Raw genomic sequence first — 21,907 nt, 5'->3', positions numbered from 1 at the left:
TCTATGTTGCCTAGCCTGGTCTCAAACTCCTGGCCTCAAGGAATCCTCCCACCTAAGCCTCCCAAAGTGCTGAGATTACAGGCGTGAGCCACTGTGCCCAGCCTGTGTGGATATTTTTTAATTAATTCATTGTTCTAGGTTCCTGGTAAGACCTTTCAATGCAGAAACTTGTGACTTTGTGTTAGGGAAGCAGGAGCCTAGAAGAGCCAAATTAAAAGTTCAGCTCCATCTGGAGACTAACAGGGCACATTCCTTGCCAGTCACTACCCATGATTACAGATGTTTATAGTTGAGGAAAGACCATAAAGACACCTACGAGGACGCACTCCTCCGTCAGAGAGTTCAGATGTCCCAGTACCCATAAAAACACATGCTTTCAAGATAATAACAGTTATGGCAGGGTATGGTGGCTCACACCTGTAATCCCAGCACTTTGGGAGGCTGAGGAGGGCAGATCACTTGAGGTCAGGAGTTTGAGACCAACCTGGCCAACATGGTGAAACCTTGTCTCTACTAAAAATACAAAAATCAGCTTGGCATGGTGGCATGCACCTGTAATCCCAGGTACTCGGAAGGCTGAGGCGGGAGAATCGTTTGAATCTGGGAGGCAGAGGTTGCAGTGAGCCGAGATTGCACCACTGCACTCCAGCCTGGGCGACAGAGCAGGACTCCATCTCAAAGATAAAAAAAGAGAAGAAAGATAATAACAGTTATGCTCTGATGGACTCACACACTGAAATGTCAAAGAGGCCGGGCATGGTGGCTCAAGCCTGTAATCTCAGCACTTTGGGAGGCCGAGGCGGGCAGATCACGAGGTCAGATCGAAACCATCCTGGCTAACACGGTGAAACCCCATCTTTACTAAAAATACAAAAAATTAGCCGGACGTGGTGGCGGGCGCCTGTAGTCCCAGCTACTCGGGAGGCTGAGGCAGGAGAATGGCGTGAACCCGGGAGGCGGAGCTTGCAGTGAGCCGAGATTGCGCCAGTGCACTCCAGCCTGGGCGACAGAGCGAGACTCCGTCTCAAAAAAAAAAAAAGAAAAACTCTGTGTGTGTGTGTGTGTGTGTGTGTGTGTGTGTGTGTGTGTGTGTGTACCCTCGTGTGCTCGCACAAACGAACAGAGCTAGAGTTAAAGGAATTCCAAGGACAATTTGCTGGGTAAAATTCAAGACTGATTAATTTTCCACAGGGCAATAAAATCATTGTATTTAACCACACAACCAGGCTATAAAAACATAGAACCTATTAGTCTCTAAAGTTAAACTATACCAGGCTATAAAAACATAGAACCTATTAGTCTCTAAAGTTAAACTGTAACTTTATAGAACCATAAAACTGTCTGTTTCTTCAATCATTATGGATTGATTACATACATTGTGGCAATGGAATTTCATTCCCCTGGTGTGTCCCATGAGGGTAAATTCCCAGGATGCAGGTTCTGCTTTTATTGAAACAGGGTTTGAAAAAGTGTTCCCCTAAGATCTCAGGAATTAGGCAATCATAATTTTGCCATTTTCCCAAGTGTGGAATCATTTCCTCTTTAATACCTGTGTCAGGTGAGAATGTCTGAAATATGTGTTTTGTTTGGTTTTTTGAGACAGGGTCTCACTCTGTTGCCCAGGCTGGAGTGCAGCAGCGTGTTCATGGCTCACTGCAGCCTTGACCTCTCAGGCACAAGCTATCATCCCATCTCAGCCTCCTGAGTAGCTGGGACCACAGGTGTGTGCCACCACGCCTGGCTCATTTTTGTAATTTTTTTTTTTTTTTTGGTAGAGATGGGGTTTCACCATGTTGTCCAGGCTGGTCTCAAACTCCCAAGCTCAAGCAATCCACCTGCCTCAGCCTCCCAAAATACTGAGATTACAGGCCTGAGCCACCATGCCTGGCCTAGAACATCTGAAATATTTATTCTCGACATCACTAGCTCAATCTTGTTTCAATGTCTGTTCTTTTTGTCCTTGTGAGTTTTGTCCTTTTTATTTTTTAACTGTTATTTTAGTGAGGTTTGGAGAGGACGTAGGCCCAAATGCATGGACTCAATTCCCCACTTTTAAAAAATTTTTATTTTATATTATTTTTTGGTAGAGACAGGGTCTCACTATGTTGCCCAGGCTGGTCTTAAACTTCTGGCCTCAATCAATCCTTCTGCCTCAGCCTCCCAAATTGTTAGGATTACAGGTGTGAGCCAACAAGCCTGGCCCAGTTCTGCTTTTTTGATCCCACATTTCCTCCTGCTCTCTATTGTCCAGGACTTTCATCAAATGCCTGGCCTTTTGGCTTTTCAGTTTCCTGATGCTGCTGTAGATGTATTACTTTCCCTCTTTCATGTCTTTTCTACATTTCACCAGGAGTGTTCAGCAAGAGTGACAGTGTGCACTTGTGTGCTTTATACACTCCCTTGATCCAGGTCTTTTCCTGACTATATCAACACTTGGTTCCAAATAGCAAAGAGCTCTCCATCTTTGGGGATAGAAGCAAACTGTTCCTATTACTCAGAAAAACCATTGCTGTAATGTTGCAAGAATTAATAGGTATCTTGTCTGCTATAGTCTTCCCAAGGCAGGAAAAAAACCATAAGCATCTCCTTTCCAGCCCTGACCTCTCCATTTCTTCCTCACCCCCTTCCACCTCCAGAAGATGCATCTTCGTTTGCTGGCATTCTGGCCTTCTTTGCCTCAGAGGATGCCCTTGTCAAGTTCTAGCTGTATTGCCTGGTGGGTGTGAAACCACTCTTAACATAAACTCCTCAGCTGGTCCTTGGCAAGGGCTTTTCCTCAACTTTTCAGATTTAGTGGGTGTTTCAGATTTTAGTTTAGTGGTAGTTATATATGCAGAATCCCAGGCCCCACTGGAGGAGAGGGAGAAGGTGGCTTGCAATCTACATTTTTATGGAGGCCCTCATGTCAAAATCTGGGACAATCTCAGCCTCATATGAATAATGCAGGAATGGATTATTATATATTGAATCAAAAGGAATCCATGTGTCTCTATTGATATTAACACCAAAAATTTTGGCCTGTGCTCACACCTGTAATCGCAGCACTTTGGGAGGCCAAAGCAGGAGTATCAGTTGAGCCCAAGAGTTCGAGGTTACAGTGAGCTATGATCATGTCACTGTACTTCAACCTGGGTAACAGAGAGAGACTCTGTCTCAAAACAACAACCACCACAATAAATAAATAAAACAACCAACAATGGTATTTTATTTTATTATTATTTTTCTTAATAGAGACAAGATCCTGCTATGTTGCCCAGGCTGGTCTCGAACTTATGGGCTCAAGCAATCCTCCCACCTCAGCCTCCCAAAATGTTGGGATTACAGGCGTGAGCCACTGCACCTGGCCAACACCAAAAATTTTAAAGGGGGTAGAAAAGAGGGCCAGGTGAGGTGGCTCACACCCGTAATCCCAGCACTTTGGGAGGCTGAGGTGGGTGGATCACTTGAGGTCAGGAGTTCAAGACCAGCCTGGCCAACATGGCAAAAACCCATCTCTACTAAAAATACAAAAATTAGCCAGGCGTCCTGATGCCCATCTGTAATCACAGCCACTTGGGAGGCTGAGGCAGGAGAATTGCTTGAACTTGGAAGTCAGAGGTTGCAGTGAACCAAGATGGCATCACTGCACTCCAGACTGGGCAAGAAAGTGAGACTCCATCTCAAAAAAAAAAAAGAAAAGAAAGCTCTTCTTCATAAAAGAATGCCAAATTGTGAATGTAGATGGAATGATAGAAATGGAAAAATCATCATTTTATGACCAGTCTATTAATAATTGATTCAGGCAGGCATCATCAATGGAATGTAAAACTATTAGGATAAAGGGGGTTGGGAAAAATGATATTCATAAGGTTTGAATGTATCACCCTACAGGCTGTTTAGTAATCGCAAAAGGGAAAACGTATCTTTACCACAGAGAGAGCTGAAGGTCACCACGTTGACCATCAGATTACACTTAGCATCACCATCAACGTGAAAATTGACTGGTGTGTTGCACTGAGAAGACACAACATCACTTAATGTTTCTACCAATAATCTAAACCCAGATTTATTTTTAAGAAAATCAGGTTGGCCAGGTGCGGTGCCTTATGCCTGTAATCCCAGCTACCTGGGGAGGCAGGAGAACCGCTTGAACCCATGAGGCAGAGGTTGCAGTGAGCCGAGGTTGCGCCACTACACTCCAGTCTGGGCCACAGAGCGAGACTCCGTCTCAAAAAAAAAAAGAAAGAAAGAAAGAAAGAAAATCAGGCCGTTATGATGTCATCTTGATTTTAAATACAAAGGCTTAGTCAGTGCACATGATCAACACTTTGAACTTTCAGTTCCCTTCTACCACAGCCTCCTATATGTTCTAGAAGTGTCTAAGGGAGACTCTTGTGCAGTGCTCTCAGAATCTTCCATTCTCCCTCTGGAAATGTCACCTGCCAGGCCTCTGTTGTATGAAAAGAGTTAGCATGGCCTCTTATGTTTTTGCAAAGTGCTTCCAATGCCAAGGTTACTCTATGCTGAAATATGCCTTGAAGCCACTTTCTTACATTATGATCCCAAAGGGACCACTTTAGACTTCCAGCATCTCACCAAGATTTTTATGTGACCATCATCCAGTTTATGTCATTAGTCCTTAGGACTGAGAAGTGGGTCCAGGGTGGCTTACAGGGGAAAGTGGCTTAGTCAGTATTGTCTTGCTGGTCTTGCTCTCTGGGGCATGGGATTCTTATTCCAAGCACCCATCCAGTCACGTAGCTCACGCTGGAACTCTCATCAGCCCATTGATATCTTGGAGTTTAACACAAGGAAGTATTGCACAAGACAAGCCAGAGACCCATGGACATAATGGCTGCCAAAGCAGAGAAGGGGAGGTGACAGATTTAGGAGACAGCAGCCGCCCTCACCCTCACTGTCCTCTCTGTTCCTCCTCTTTCCTTGGAAAACAGGCCTTCCTGGGGACCTCCTGCTCCCCTCAGTTATCCAGACTCTACCTGTCTTTTGTTTATACTAATGATAGCATGCTAGGTACAGTGTTCTCCATCTTGCTTTTTTCATTTAATATTTTTTTTTTTGAGACAGGATCTTGTTCTGTCACCAGGGCTGGGGTGCAATGGCACCAACACAACCCACTGTAGCCTCGACCTCCCAGGCTCAAGCAATTCTCTTGCCTCAACCTCCTGAGCAGCTGGGATTATAGGTATGTGACACCATGCCCAGCTATTTTTTAAAAAATTTTTTGTAGAGACAGGGTCTTGTTATGTTGATGAGGCTGGTCTTGAACTCCTGGGCTCAAGCAATCCATGTGCCTTGGCCTCCCAAAGTACTGGGATTACAGGTGTGAGCCACTACACTCAGCTCAACATTTTTTATATGTACAATTTGTTCATATCCTTTATCTTTGTCTTTTATATCTTTAAGAGAACTCTTTACCACCTTTTTAGTGAGGTTTCTGGAGAGGGTGGAAATGAGTATTTTCTATCCACCACAAGGTTTCCTTGGAGTTTACAAGTATATGTTGATATCCCCTGAAAATCTAGATAATTTTGTCTCCTCTTTTCCAATTCCATACTTCAAATCTTTAAAGATTTAAAGACTAGGTGTAGTGGCTCACACCTGTAATTCCAACTCTGTGAGAGGATCACTTGAGCCCAGGAGGTCAAGGTTGCAATGAGCCGTGATCATGCCACTGCATTCCAGCCTGGGTGACAGAACAAGACCTTGTCTCAAAAAGCAAGCAAGCAGGCAAACAAACAAACAAAACACGCTTATTATGGAAAAGAAGGGGGCAGAAGCCAAACTAGGGAGAGGAAGAAGTTAAACTGTGATGCAGGCCTAATAAAGCTTCAGCCAACACGGCAGGGAGTTTTTGAGTGAGAATTGCTCATTAAAGTGTCCCATGTTGACCCCAAAGAGGGAGGTCTTTATGCCTCCACCCGACTCAGTCATTGCACACTGGCTACCTTTGGAGGGACTGACCACATTCTCTGCAGCCAGGCAGCAAGTTCTTCCCTGAAGGGAGATCTGGGCCGCATATCTCTATGTCTATCACAACTTATCCATTCCATCAAGGTGGTGGGGAGGATTTGATATATTGCAGGGGATAAGCAAAGAGGAATTTTTTTTTTTGCAGCTTTGGACATTCACAATGGAGTTTTACTGCAAATCAATAGGCTCCAAAGCAAGATGTTGTCAAGAGGAAAATCGTTTTCTAAATTCCTTTAGTTTTCATTTGACATATGAAGACTCTGAGGTTGGAGCATTTCTTCCATAGTGTGCTTTCAAAACCTAGGCCTAGGCCTGAGGGTATGATGGAGAAGAAAATGAGGGAGAGGTAGCAGAGAATGACTATGGAATACATGGGCCCTAGTCTCTCTGTTCTAGACTGAATCATGAAGAAGCAGAGGTAGTTTGATAATTCAACTGGGCTTCAAGGGCAGGAGGCATTTGATCTATTCCATATTTGGGATTCTGGAAGGAGGCCACCATGTAGAATGGCCCTGCTTGAATCCAGTTAAGAGTAATGTGCAGAATGGTTAAGCAGGGTTACAGCCTCGACTGGCCTCCTGTTATGATCCTTGGTAGAGCAAATGCTGAGAGTCAGTAGGTCTGTCCTGGGGCCGCAGAGGGTGCTGAGTGGACTGATCAGCATGGACGGGAACAGAGGGGGCAGAACCAGGACTCAGAGGTGTCCACAAGGCAAGCGAAAGCCAATGAGAGGCTAAGTCATCAGACCCAGCTCAAACAGAAAAAGATGGATCTCCTCAGTGACAGACGTCAGCAAGTAGGAGCTAGACACATAAACCCACCTCTCCTTGTTCATCCAGACACCCTCTGAAAATGGGACAAGTATAAAAACCCAAAGATCTGAGTATTTGTTTGTTTATTTATTTATTTGAGACAGAGTCTCGCTCTGTCGCCCAGGCTGGAGTGCAGTGGCGCAGTCTCGGCTCACTGCAAGCTCCACCTCCTGGGTTCACACCATTCTCCTGCCTCAGCCTCCCGAGTAGCTGGGACTACAGGCACTGGCCACCACACCCAGCTAATTTTTTGTATTTTTAGTAGAGACGGGGTTTCACCGTGTTAGCCAGGATGGTCCCGATCTCCTGACCTCGTGATCCACCCGCCTCGGCCTCCCAAAGTGCTGGGATTACAGGCATGAGCCACCGCGTCTGGCCCTGAGTATTTATTTTTAAAAGACTCTACTAGTCATGCTTCTCCTGCATAACTACATCGAAATAAAAGGACTTACAACAAGCGTTGATTCTCTACTCATAGGTTGCAGGTTCAGCTGTGGGGCTCTGGCTTCAACTAGAATCAGCTGGGCTTGGCTCAAGGCTGTGAGCGGGATTCAAGTCCACTCCACAAGTCTTCTCATTCTAGGACCGGCAGTGACTGTGACATGCTCTTTATATAACAGAAGATGGGATTACAAGAGCCAAACCAAACCACGCAGGCACATTTTTAGCCTTGGCTCACATCACATCCACTAACATTCCATGGGCCAAAGTCAGTCTTAGAGCTAAGTTCAAAGTCAATGGGGTGGAAATGAATAATGTATATCAGGGAGGGAGTGAAGAATTGGGAACAATATCCAATCTACCACAGAGACTAGGCATTACCTAAAGGACTGACCAAATTTTAGCATTAGACTACGGTCGTTGGACAGGACTGAAACTTACTTTTTTTGCCTTGCTACCCAGTAACTGCGGACTTGTCTTGGGTCATGTTCTCTAGAAGCAGAGCCCAAGATGGGGATTCTTGTGTACATAATTTATGAAGAGTATGTTCTCAAGAGGAACATGTCAAGAAGTGAGACAAGTGTAGAAAATAGGAAGGAAGGGAGCAGGAATGAATCATATATATCAGGGAGGGAGTGAAGAATGTGGTTTCAGCTGGAATCTAGTCTGATCACGCAGGAAATTGGAATAAGAATTGTACTCCAGGGATGTCTCCCTTGAGTCAAGAGCTGGGCTTTTTGACCTTCTGTTGGTAAGTCATTGGCTGTCTTCCTCTCCCCTAGAACAGGTGTAACCTCCCCGACATTTCTTGGTAAGGTGACAGACAGCTGTAGACCAAGAACAGTTCTCTGGAGAAAGGGGAAGTTGTGATCCGAGAGCAACTAAAATTCACAACAGCTGGGGGTTGACACCCTGGCTGGTTAAGGCCATCTGGACAGGATGGCCTTAACACCAACAGACCGGTACCAGTCTGTGGCCTGTTAGGAAACGGGCCACACAGCAGGAGGTGAGTGTCAGGCGAGCGAGCATTACCGCCTGAGCTCCACCTCCTGTCGGCGGCATAGATTCTCATAGGAGTGCAAACCCTATTATGAACCGCGCATGAGAGAGATCTAGGTTGCGTGCTGTTTATGAGAATCTAATACCTGATGATCTGTCACTGTCTCCCATCACCCCCAGATGGGACCGTCTAGTTGCAGGAAAACAAGCTCAGGGCTCCCACTGATTCTACATTATGATGGGTCGTATAATTATTTCATTATATATTTCAATGTAATAATAATAGAAGTACAGTGCACAATAAACGTAATGTAATGTACTTGGATCATCCTGAAACCATCCCCCCACCCTGGTCTGTGGAAAAACTGTCCTCCAGGAAACCGATCCCTGGTGCTAAAAAGGTTAGGGACTTCTGTGCTATATATATGGCTCGTGAAAGACCAGACCAAAATTAAAGTACACACCCACAGCAAATACTGCTATTTCCTAATATCCATTCTTTCGTACTTTTTTTTTTTAATTATTTTTTTGAGACAGAGTCTCTCTCTGTCACCCAGGCTGGAGTGCAGTGGTGCTATCTCCACTCACTACAACCTCTGCCTCCCAGATTCAAGCGATTCTCCTGCCTCAGCCTTCCAAGTAGCTGGGATTACAGGTGCCCACCACCACACCCAGCTAATTTTTGTATTTTTAGTAGAGATGGGGTTTTGCCATGTTGGCCAGGCTGGTCGCAAACTCCTGACCTCGAGTGATCCGACTGTCTCTGCCTTCCAAAGTGCCAGGATTACAGGCACCCGCCGCCACACCCAGCTAATTTTTGTATTGTTAGTAGAGGTGGGGTTTTGCCATGTTGGCCAGGCTGGTCTCGAACTCCTGACCTCAAGTGATCCACCCATCTCAGCGTCCCAAAGTGCTGGGATTATGGGCGTGAGCCACTGTGCCCGGTCATTTCTCTCCTTCTTGTACCCAGAAGAAAAACAAACAAGATAGTTTAGCTGTCCAGAATCAAAACTACCTTTCTCAGACTCCCTTCTAACTAAGCAGGGCCATACATTTAGGTTCTAGACACCAGATGAAGGCAGACATATCACATGGAAGCTTCCGGGAATCTTCCTTAAGAGACAGCTGGTGTTACTCTTTGCCCCTTCTTTTCCCTTTCCTTCATCCTGCCGGCTTGAATGCAGGTGTAATGGCTGGGGCAGGAACGAAACTGTGAGGCGATCTGGAGAGTGAAGGCCAAAAGGGCCACAGTTCAAAGGGGGTCTGGTTCTGAGGTCACTGTGAACCCCAGTCACCACGCCTTCAACATGGAAAGGTACAATCTTCTACCTGCGTCAAATTACTGTTAATTAACTCTTACAAGGTAAAACTTATTCAGAGTAATGTAATCCTAACCAATCCAATATTTGAGACAGATTGAAAGTGAGTTTAAGAATGTGCTGCATATATTTTACCAAAACACCCTTTCGCAAAATTGTACCCATTTATACTCCATTTAGTAGATAGCAGTGTTCATTTCTCCACATTAGTTATTATTATTTTTTTTGGTTGGGTCAATTTTGTTTGTTTGTTTTCGGTGGAGTCTCACTCTGTTGCCCAGGCTGGAGTGCAGAACTCGGCTCACTGCAATCTCCGCCTCCTGGTTTCAAGCAATTCTCCTGCCTCAGCCTCCCAGGTAGCTGGGACTACAGGCATGAGCCACCATGCACAGCTAATATATATATATATATATTTTTTTTTTTTGGTATTTTTAGTAGAGACAGGGTTTCACCATGTTGGCCAGGCTGGTGTTGAACTCCTGACTTCAGGTGATCCACCCGCCTTGGCCAAAATGCTGGGATTAGAGGCGTGAGCCACCACGCCCGGCCTGGTTGGGTCAACTTAATAAGCAAAAAGGCAGCTCACTGCTGTTTCCATTTTCCTTCTCCTGGTGTCTAGTTAGGTTGTATGTATTTTCCTCTCTTCCTGAGCCATCTGTATTTCTTCCTCTATAAATTTATTAGGGAAACAGGAGCATAGGGGAGCCAGGGTGACACCGTTTAAAAATCAAATCCATTTTAAAACTAGCAAAGTACGGCTGTAATCCCAGCACTTTGGGAGGCTGAGGCGGGTGGATCACCTGAAGTCAGGAGTTCAACATCAGCCTGGCCAACATGATGAAACTCCGTCGCTACTAAAAATACAAAAATTAGCCAGACACTGTGGCGCACGCCCATAATCACAGCTACTCGTGACCAGCCTGGCTAACATGGCAAAACCCCAACTCTATTAAAAATACAAAAATTATCCGGGTGTGGTGGTGGGCGCCCGGCCGGTGGTCATAAGATGTTTACAGTTGAGGAAACAGCTTAAAAACGCTTTAAAATGGGCAGGGCGCAGTGGCTCAGGCCTGTAATCCAAGCACTTTGTGAGGCCTAGGCGGGCGGATCAAGAGGTCAATAGATCGAGACCATCCTATCCAACATAGTAAAACACCGTCTCTACCAAACATACAAAAATTAGCTGGGCATGGTGGCGTGCGCCTGTAGTCCCAGCTACTCAGGAGGCTGAGGCAGGAGAATTGCTTGAACCCAGGAGGCAGAGGTGGCAGTGAGCTGAGATTGCACCACTGCACTCCAACCTGGTGACAGAGAGAGACTCCGTCTCAAAAAAAAAAAAAGAAAGAAAGAAAGCTTTAAAATGCCTCGAATCACTGCAGCCTCGACCTCCTGGGCTCCAACTATCCTCCTGAGCATCTGGGACCACAGGCACATGCCACCATGCCAAGCTAATTTTGTATTTTTTTGCAAGGACAAACTCCTGCAATGGCAGAATGTACACACGTCCCAATATCACATAACAATATATTTTTTTAAGTGATGCACTAAAATGCCAAGGATAGCCTTCTTTAAATCAGCAAAGTACTAAATTTTGTCATGCTGTCAGCCCACCTGCACGTAACCATAATTTAGTTTACCTTTTACATAGACAAGACTCCTATATAAGAAGAGGTTAAAAGTAAGCACGTTCCTCCTGTTTCCTGAGAACCCCCAATTCTGTAAGAGTAGCTTTTAACAAATGGTCTTTTCTCACTGTCCTCTACAACTCACCCTGAATTCTTTCCCGCATGAGATCCAAGAACCCTCTCTTGGGGTCTGGATCAAGACCCTTTTTTAGCAACAAATTAGCTTTTTGTATCATTTGGCCATTTTTGATGGGGGTGTTTATATTTTTGTAGTGATTTAGAAGTACTCCTTTATTTGAAAAAGTTTAAATATGCTGATAAGAAAAAAGGCCAATATAACAAACACCTGGGTACCAATCATCCAAATGAACAAATGTTGATATTTTTGTCATATTTGTATCAAACCTGTTTTTAAGGAAATAAAAATTGAGGCCAGACATGGTGGCTCACGTCTGTAATCCCAACATGTTGGGAGGCTGAGATGGGAGGACTGCTTGAGCCCAGGAGTTCAAGACCAGCCTGGACAACATAGCAAGACTCCATCTCTACAAAAATTTTAAAAACTAGCCAGGTGTGGTGGTGCACACATGTAGTCCAAGCTGCTCGGAAGGCTGAGGTGAGAGGATTGTTTGAGTCTGGGAGGTTGCAGCTTCGGCGAGCTATGATTATACCACTGCACTCCAGCCTGGGCAACAGAGCAAGACCCTGTCTCTTAAAAACATTAATAAATAAAATTTAAATAATAAAAAATTGCAGATGAAAATGTACTTACTGAGTTCACCTTCCCAGTCTGAACAACCACTCATGGTTTTTATACCTTTGCTATGTACATAGTATTGTTTTGGTTATGTTTATTTTAATTTATATTAATGGTGTCAAATTATAAATATTCTTTTGTAGCTCATTAAACCCTGTGTTTCTAAGATTCAACCATATTCATTCATTTTAATTGTATAATATTACCTTGTATAACTCTTCCATGTTTGGTTTATGTTTCACATTTGAGACCCCCTTGATGGATATTAAATCCCTGCCCCCTGCCCCGCCCGCTCCCCACCAGTTTCACTATTACAAAGAACATGGATAAACATCTTTGGTTTTACTTCACATGTTTCCATATGCAAGAGCTTCTTTTTTTTTGAGACAGTATCTCAATCTGTCGCCCAAGCTAGAGTGCAGTGGCACAATCACAGATCACTGCAGTCTCGACCTCCTGGGCTCCAACTATCCTCCTGAGCACCTGGGACCACAGGCACATGTCACCACGCCAAGCTAATTTTGTATTTTTTTGCAGAGATAAGATTTCCTGATGTTACCCAGGCTAGTCTCGAACTGCTGACCTCAAGCAATCTGCCTGCCTTGGCCTCTCAAAGTGCTGGGGTTACAGGCGTGAGCCACCATGCCCAGCTGAGAGTTTCTTTGGACGTGGAATTTCTGGGTTTTAGGGACATATATGTATCTTTTTAATTTTTTTTTGAGACAGGGTCTTGCTATGTTTCCTAGGCTGCTAGTCTCTAGCAGCTCTCTAACTCTGGGCTCAAGCAATCCTCCTGCCTCAGCATCCCAAAATGCTAGGATTATGGGCATGAGCCACCATATCCAGCCAATGTATCTTCTACTTCACATATTATAAAATTGCTGTCCAAAGCGGTTATACCAATTTATACTTTCCACAGAAGTGTATGAGAGTTCCCATTCCATATCCTGGCAATATTAAATAATATCTCAAGCTTAAAATTCTTTTCTCAAATTAATGGATATAATGGTATCTCTTTTTTTTTTAATTTTTTTCAGACAGTCTTGCTCTGTCGCCCAGGCTGGAGTGCAGTGGCGCAATCACGGCTCACTGCAACCTCTGCCTCCCAGATTCAAGCGATTCTCCTGCCTCAGCCTCCCGAGTAGCTGGGATTACAGGCATCTGCCACCACACTCAACTAATTTTGTATTTTTAGTAGAGACAGGGTTTCACCATGTTGGTCAGGCTGGTCCCGAACTCCTGACCTCGTGATCCACTGGCCTCAGCCTCCCAAAGTGCTGGGATTACAGGCATGAGCCACCGTGCCTGGCCGGCATCTCATTGTTTTTAACTTGTCTTTTCCCTCATTGTTAATGATATTGAGCATATTTACATACGTTGAGTTTCTTCATCTGTGAATTGCCTATCCTAATTCTTTTTTTAATGAATTTTATTGTGAATATTTAAGATGTACAGCGTAATGTTATGAGATACATGTATATATAGATAGTAAAATATTTATCATAGTGAAACCAATTAACGTAGCCATCATCTCACATAGTTACCCATTTTTCCCACAGTGGCAAGAGCAACTATACTCTGCACATTTAGCAAAAATCCTGATAAAATAAATTACTAATTGTCGTCCTCAGCTAGGCGCAAATGCTCATGCCTGTAAACCTAGCACTTTGGGAGGCCAAGGGCGGAGACTCGCTTGAGCCCAGAAGTTCAAGACCAGCCTGGGCAACATGGTGAAACCCTGTCTCTAGTAAAAATACAAAAATTAGCTGGGCATAATGGTACACACCTGTGGTCCCAGCTACTTGGGAGGCTGAAGCAGGAGGATTCCTTGAACCCTGGAGGCAGAGGTTGAAATGCTGAGATTGCTTCATTGCAGTCCAGCCTGGGTGACAGAGTGAGACTCTGTCTCAAAAAAACCCCCAAAACCAAAAAACTATATTCCTTATGGAATCACACATTGGATCTTGAAATTTGTTCAATTTACATATTTGCTACTCTGGATCCTTTGACATCTCTCTCAATCTCTTCCTCATCACCCTACCCCTGGTAGCCGCTTTTATTCTCTGTCTCTGTATATTTGACCTTTTCTTTGAGACTGAGTTTCGCTCTTGTCGCCCAGGCTGGAGTGCAATGGCTCACCGCAAACTCTGCCTCCCAGGTTCAAGCGATTCTCCTGCCTCAGCCTCCCAGGTAGCTGGGATTACAGGTGCCCGCCACCACGCCCAGCTAATTTTATATTTTTAGTAGGGACAGGGTTTAACCATGTTGGCCAAGCTGGTCTCCTGGTAACATTAAATAATATCAAACTTAAAATTCTTTTCTCAAATTAATGGGTATAATGGTATCTCTTTTTTATTTTTATTTTTTTGAGACAAAGTCTCACTCTGTTGCCCAGGCTGGAGTGCAGTGGCGTGATCTCAGCTCACTGTAACCTCCACCTCCTGGGTTCAAGTGATTCTCCTGCCTCAGCCTCCTGAGTAGGTGGGATTACAGGCACCCGCCACCATGCCCAGCTATTTTTTTTATTTTTAGTAGAGACGGGGTTTCACCAGGTTGGCCAGCCTGGTCTTGAACTCCTGACCTCAGGTGATGCACCCGCCTCCACAAAGTGCTGGGATTACAGGCGTGAGCTACCGCACCCGGCCTGTAGTAAATCTTAATGGCTAATAGCTTTATAGTAAATCCTGCTATCTGGTAGGGCAAGTTCTCTCTCCTTGTTCATCTTTTCCGCAAAGAACTTTCCTATGAATGACCTTAGGGAGCGGGGGGTTTTTTTCTTTCTTTCTTTCTTTTTTTTTTTTTTAGATGGAGTTTCGCTCCGTCTCCCAGGCTGGAGTGCAATGGCACAATCTCGGCTCACTGCAACCTCTGCCTTTGGGGTTGAAGCGATTCTCCTGCTTCAGCCTCCCAAGTAACTGGGATTACAGGCACGCGCCAACATGCCCGGCTAATTTTGTATTTTTGGAAGAGACGGGGTTTCTCCATGTTGGTCAGGCTGGTCTCAAACTCCCGACCTCAGGTGATCAGCCCACCTCGGCCTCCCAAAGTACTGGGATTACAGGCGTGAGCCACTGCACCCTGCCAGGGATCAGTTTTTAAAGTTCCTTTTAAAATATTCTGTTGGGATTTTGTTAGAAATTGCATTTAATTCACAGGGTAACATGGAAAGAATCAATGTTGTAATGAGCATTCTAATAATCATGGTATATATTACTTCTTATTCTGTCTGTTTTAGTTCATAGTCCCTCTCCTCCTGCTGCTCAGTAGTGGACCTAAGGTAAGGATTTGAGTGCAAGTACCTTATGTGGGAGGTAATCCTAGGAAAACGAGCAGCAGAGTGGGGAAGAGATTCAAGGAAGGGAGAGCAGTCGATTGCACATTATCAAGCAAATGGGCAACTGGAGCTTAATCCTGCTGGGAAACCCTTAGAATAGCTACAGAATGTGTGTCCCAGAGTTATCCTACCTGACAAGTGAGAAGCTGGGGTATTTACGCAACTTCCTTCAGTCATTGACTGAGAGCTCAGCTCCTAGCAGGCATTAATTCCCCAGCTCTTCTAGCCTCCTGACCCAGCGTGCAAGGAAATGGTAAGTGCCAAGGAGCACTAACAGTGTCTGCTAAGCTACCGAATGGTCTTAAAAATATATATGTAATATATATAAACACATATTTATATATAATAATAAATATATATTATATATTAATACATAATTATATAAAATATATGTGAAATATATTTAGGAAAACAAATTATATAAAAATATATTATAGATTATATATTAAAATATATTAGATAATATATATTATAATATATAACTATATGTTAATGTGATTAACATGTTGTATAATATATGACATATGTTATATATAACATATACAATATATTATATATGTTTAATATATTATACATTTTTAATATATAATACATTTTACTATCTATTATATATACATGGAGTACAAGTGCAGCTTTATTGCGTGCATATATTGCTTAGCAGTGAAGTCTCGGCTGTTAGTGTACACATCATCTGAATAGTGAATATTGTACCCAATAGGTAATTTTTCAATCCTCACCCTTCTCCCACCCTCTCACCTTTTGTAGTCTCCAATGTCTATTATCCCACTCTGTGTGTCTATATGTACACATTATTTAGCTCCCACTAATAAGTGAGAACATGTGGCATTTGACTTTCTGTTCCTGAGTTATTTCACTTAGGATCATGGCCTCCAGTTCCATCCATGTTGCTGCAAAAGATATGACTTCATTCTTTTCTATGGCTAAGTATTACAGTATTCCATGGTATATGCACATACTACATTTTATCCAATTCTCCTTTGACAAACACTTAGGTTGATCCCCTGTCTTTGTGATTATTGTGAACAGTGCTGCAATAAATATTCCAGTGCAAGTCTCTTTTTAATACAATGATTTCTTTCCCTAAAGAGTCTTTTGGAAATTCAGACACAAGCAACTTTCTCCCCTGCCTAAAATTTTTTGTTGTAGAGAAATTCAAAATTGTTGACATGGCCTATGGGTTTCTACACACTGGCTACGAACTCCTTTCCTGCTTCACCCTGCCACCTCCTTTCCCAGGAAGTTTGCTCTCTAGCCCCGCTGAACCATTGTCCCTCCACTCCCTCAGAGGCAGCCAGATTCTGTCAAACCCTCGCTTCTTTGCATTTGTTGTTTTCTCTACGTCTAATGCCCTTCCCTTATTTTTCTTCCTAGAGAAACCCTTCTGGGAACCAGAGTGGTTAGGAACATGGACATTGAAGTTAGAGCTGGAATCGAAACTCAGTTCGAATGCAGCCACCTTTTTGCTTTGCTGAGTGGGAAATGCAAGAGGGAGGCTAGAGGTAAAGCTGGGCAGGCTTGAGAGTTTTTGAGAGAAATGTTGGAATGCTGGGGAGGAAAAAGGTTCAGGAAGGGCTGAGGAGGTTTGCCATCTGAGTTTTGATGTTTCTCTTTATTGTTTCTCCATGGAAATAAATGTATTTATTTATTTAATATTTTGAGACAGCAGGGCCTTGCTCTGTCGCCCAGGCTGGAGTGCAGTGGCGCGATCTTGGCTCACCACAGTCTCTGTCTCCCAGGCTAAAGCGATCCTCCCACCTCAGCGTCCCAATTAGCTGGGTCTACAGGCGCACACCACCATGCCTGGCTAATTCTTTTGTATTTGTTGCAGAGATGGAGCTTTGTCACGTTTCCCAGGCTGGTCTTGAGCTACTGAACTCAAGCGATCTACCTGCCTCAGCCTCCAAAAGTGCTGAGATTGCAGGTGTGAGCAATTTAAATTTAAAATATAAATTTCAAATTAAAAAAATTTTTTGGCCAGGTGCAGTGGCTCACGCCTGTAATCCCAGCACTTTGGGAGGCCAAGGTGGGCAGATCAGCTGAGGTCAGGAGTTCAAGACCAGCCTGGCCAACATGGTGAAACCCTGTCTCTACTAAAAATACAAAAGTTAGCCGGGCGTGGTGGCAGGTGCCTGTAATCCCAGCTACTCAGGAGGCTGAGGCAGGAGAATCGCTTGAACCCAGGAGGCAGAGGTTGCAGTGAGCCGAGATCACGCCATTGCACTCCAGCCTGGGCAACAAGAGCGAAATTCTGTCTCAAAAAAAAAAATTTTTTTTTAATTTTTTGTAGAAACAGGGGTCTTACTATGTGGCCTCAGCTGGTCTTGAACTACTAGCTTCAAGCAGTCCTCCCGCCTCAGCCTCCCAAAGTGCTGAGACTACAGGATTGAGCCACTGCACCTAGCCTCTCCATGGAAATTGCCATAAAATGTAAATTATTTGTCAAGGGAAAAAAATCTTCTCTGACAGTTAATTTGGGCAAGTCACCTAACCTTTCTGAGGCTGTTTCCTTATTTGTATAGTGGAGATAATACCTCATTCTTACCTTATAGAACTGTTGTATTAATTATCTATTGCTGAATAGCAAATTACCTTCAAATTTAGTGACTTGTTACAACATAAGATATTTATTATCTTAATCAAACAGTTTCTGTGAGTCAGGAATTCAGGAGCAACTTAGCTAATTGGTTCTAGATCATGGTCTCTCTGCAGCCAAAGTATCCACTGGGGCTGTGATCAACTGCAGGGTTCACTGGAGTGGGAAGATCTGCTTCCAGGATGGTTCAGTCACATGACTGACAAGTTGATGCTGGTTTTTGGCAGGAGGCCTCAGTTTCTCACCACGTGGGCCTCTCCATAGAGCTGCTTGAGTGTCCTCATAAAACGGCAGCTGCTTTGTCTAGAACAGATTATGCAAGAGAAAGCAAAAGGAAGTTGCATATGTCTTTCATGACCAAGCCTTGGAAGTCACAATGTGTGCCATACTCTATTGGTCACAGGCCAGGCATGATTCAGTATTGAGGGAGGCTATACAAAGGCATGAACACAGGACTTGAGGATCACTGGGGGCCATCTTGGCTGGCTACCACAGAGGATGACATGAAGAGTGCTTAGTGTGGTTTTGAATTATAGCTTTCATTATCACTCAGCTTCCGGACTCCCTCCACAAATGTCATTTCTTCTGAGAAACCCTCTAGATCACCACAGGTAGTTATGAAATAGCCTTGCCAAAAACAATCAAAGTGGAATCTGTACAAGCTTTTATTATTTTCCAACTTCAAGATCCTGATTTGAGGCATTGAAGGAAGAGGAATTTTTACCTCAGGTAAAGTCTCTTGGCTGGTTCAGGCCTTCCTACCTCTCTCTGTTCCCTTGTCACTGAACATCAGAGCCAGCACATTCTCCTCTAAAATAAATGAAAAAATAATAATACATTAGAATTCATGAAAATTAAAATCTTCTACTGCACAAAAGACACCTTTAAGAAAATGTAGTGGCTCACGCCTGTAATCCCAGCACTTTGGGAGGCCAAGGTGGGCAGATCAACTGAGGTCAGGAGTTTAAGACCAGTATGGCCAACATGATGAAACCCCGTCTCTACTAAAAATACAAAAAATTAGCTGGGCATGGTAGTGCATGCCTATAGTCCCAGCTACTTGGGAGGCTGAGGCAGGAGAATCACTTGAACCCAGGAGGTAGAGGTTGCAGTAAGCCGAGATCGTGCCATTGCACTCCGGCCTGAGCAACAAGAGCAAAACTCTGTCTCAAAAAAAAAAAACACAAAAGAAAATGTAAATGCAACCAATGAGAGAAAACATTCCCAATGCATATATCCAGGAAAGGACTCCGAAATAAAATACTCTAAAATAAAGAACTCCTTTAACTCAGTAATAAAACACAAACAACCCATTTTCTAAATGTGCAGAGCACTTTAAAAATATTTTATAACAGAAGATATTCAGATGGTAAATAAGAATATGACAAGATGCCCAACATCATTAGTTATTAGGGAAATGCAAATTAAAATCACAATGGGACACAACTGCATATGCAGGAGAATGACGAAAGTTAAAGACTGACACTACCAAGAGTTGATAGGGTTGTGAAACAACTGGAATTCTCATACACCTCTTTTTTTTTTTTTTTTTTTTTTTTTGAGATAGGTTCTCACTCTGTGGCCCAAACTGGAGTGCAGTGGTGCGATCTCGGCTCACTGCAATCTCTGCCTCCCAGGCTCAAGTGATTCTCCTGCCTCAGCCTCCCAAGTAGCTTGGATTACAGGTGCATGCCACTACCACCCAGCTAATTTTTGTATTTTTAGTAGAGATGGGGTTTCACCATGTTGCCTAGGCTAGTCTTGAACTCCTGACCTCAATGATCCACCTGCCTCGGCCTCCCAAAGTGCTGGGATTACAGGCGTGAGCCACTGCGCCAGGACCGAATTCTCATACACTTCTGACGGGAGTGTAAAATGGGGCACAACCACTTTGAAAAACTGTTAGACGGTTATCTTGTAAAGATAAACATACATGTACCATATAACCTAGCAATTCTTCTATTTACCCAAGAAGAGTGAAAACATATGGCCACACAAAGACTTATACATACATGTTTTATAAGAGTTTATATATAATATCCTCAAACTGGAAACAAGTCAAATGTTCATCACCTAGTAAGTGGATCGACAAATTGTGTTATGTTTGAGCTATAAAATACTACTCATCATCAATAAAAGTGAACAAATTATTGATACATATAGCATAATGAATGAATCTCAAAAATCAATATGCTGATTCCATTTATACAAATTTCAAGAGCAGACAAAACTAATCTACGGACGTTAAAATAAAATCAAGGGCTGGGTGTGAAGGCTCATGCCCATAATCCCAGCACTTTGGGAGGCTGAGGTGGTAGGATCATTTGAGCCTAGGAGTTCAAGGCCAGCCTGGGCAACACAATGAGACCCCATCTCTACAAAAAATTTTCAAGAAATTTGCCAGGCATGGTGGCACTCACCTGTGGTCCCAGCTACTTGGGAGGCTGAGGCAAGAGGATCCCTTGAGCCTGAGAGTTTGAGGTTATAGTGAGCTGTGATTGTGCCACTGTACTCCAGCCTGGGCAACAGAGCAAGATCCTGTCTCAAAACAAACAAACAAAAAAATGAAATCAGTGGTTGCCTAGGGTTAGGTGAGGGATTTGACTGCAAAAGGGTCTCGACTTGTGTGTGTGTGTGTGTGTGTGTGTGTGTGTGTATGTTGTTATTTTGTTATTACTTTTCATTGAGAGTCTCCCAGAATTTTCTGTGGTCATGGAATGACACTGATTTGGGGAGGGAGTGGTAATAGTTTCACAATTGCATACATTTGTCAAATATTGTCAAATGAAATATACATTTTATTATAAATATATTATACCTCTGTAAAAAAAAGATTGTTACAGATTTTTTTTTTTTAGACAGGGTCTGGCTCTGTGGCCCAGGCTGGCGTGCAGTGGCACGATCTCAGCTCACTGCAACCTTTGCCTCCTGGGTTCAAGCAATTCTCCTGTCTCAGCCTCCTGAGTAGCTGGGACTACAGGCACGTGCTACCATGCCCAGCTAATTTTTGTATTTTTAGTAGAGATGGGGTTTTACCATGCTGGCCAGGCTGGTCTCGAAATCCTGACCTTGTGGTCCGCCTGCCTCAGCCTCCCAAAGTGCTAGGATTATAGGCATGAGCCACTGTGCCTGGCCTGTCACAGATTATTTTTAAAAGATCATTGTTAACGATTACATGCAATATCTCAGATCATCCATGACTAGGGTTACCAGATTTAACAAATAAAAATACAAGGACTCAGTTAAATTAGAATTACACCTAATTGCCTATGCATATGTATGTTGATATAAAAATTATTGCATGGGACATTCACTAAAAGTATTTATTTGCTTATACAAAACAAATTATAAGTATCTGAGTTATATATTTCTCTAATTATATTTTTGACCACTGTAATTAAGGATTCTTGTTTTTGAAATTTGCCTATAAAATTCCTTGTAGATATAATCTATAGTTATTTTCATTGTAACATAGCTTCAACAATGGTCATATCTAACTTATTTCAGTTGTCCATTGCACATTCATTAGTTAGATAACATGCTCAACATTAGCAATATGAGGCTGCATACTGAATGATATGGTTTGGATCTGTGTCCCCACCAAATCTCATGTCAAACTGTAATCCCCAGTGTTGGAGATGGAGCCTGGTGGGAGGTGATTGGATCGTAGTGGTGGTTTAACACCTTCTCCTTGGTGCTGTACTCATGATAGTGAGTGTGTGCTCTCAAGACTTAGTTGTTTAAAAATGTGTAACACCTCCCCTCTTTCTCTCTTGCTCCTGCTCTAGCCATGTAAGATGTGCCTGCTTCTCCTTCACCTTCTGCCATGATTATAAGTCTCCTGAGGCCTCCGCAGAAACAGAAGCCACCATGCTTCCTGTATAGCCTGCAGAACTGTGAGCCAATTAAACCTCTTTTTAAAATAAATTACCCAGTCTCAGGTATTTCTTTATAGCGATGTGAGAAGAAACATTCAGAAAATTGTTACCAAGGACTGGGTCATTGCTATAAAGATACTTGAAAATGTGGAAGCAGC

General features: G+C 43.4%; 2 long non-coding RNA genes across 2 annotated transcripts, besides 1 other annotated feature; one reads left to right on the top strand and one right to left on the bottom strand.

The window, feature by feature from the left end:
* Positions 1-7,871: 7,871 nt before the first annotated feature.
* LOC105372508 (uncharacterized) lies at positions 7,872-21,697 on the top strand. Its single transcript, XR_937212.3, has 3 exons — positions 7,872-7,974; positions 16,650-16,777; positions 21,660-21,697. It is a non-coding gene; the product is annotated as an uncharacterized LOC105372508 (long non-coding RNA).
* LOC105372509 (uncharacterized) lies at positions 17,940-20,333 on the bottom strand. Its single transcript, XR_001754709.1, has 3 exons — positions 20,292-20,333; positions 18,596-18,681; positions 17,940-18,174 (listed from the first exon to the last, which is right to left on the bottom strand). It is a non-coding gene; the product is annotated as an uncharacterized LOC105372509 (long non-coding RNA).
* Positions 18,056-18,125: an enhancer, noted in NCBI's record as "active region_17479". NCBI's record gives its function as "activates an Ori minimal core promoter by ATAC-STARR-seq in GM12878 lymphoblastoid cells {active_cell/tissue: GM12878}" and the evidence as "EXISTENCE:reporter gene assay evidence [ECO:0000049][PMID:35858748]".
* Positions 21,698-21,907: the final 210 nt, after the last annotated feature.

This window comes from Homo sapiens, chromosome 20 (genome assembly GCF_000001405.40).
Source record: "Homo sapiens chromosome 20, GRCh38.p14 Primary Assembly".
Classification (NCBI taxonomy): Eukaryota; Metazoa; Chordata; class Mammalia; order Primates; family Hominidae; genus Homo; species Homo sapiens.
The sequence above is the reverse complement of the archived record's forward strand: the minus strand, read 5'-3'. Positions and strand labels throughout refer to the sequence as shown.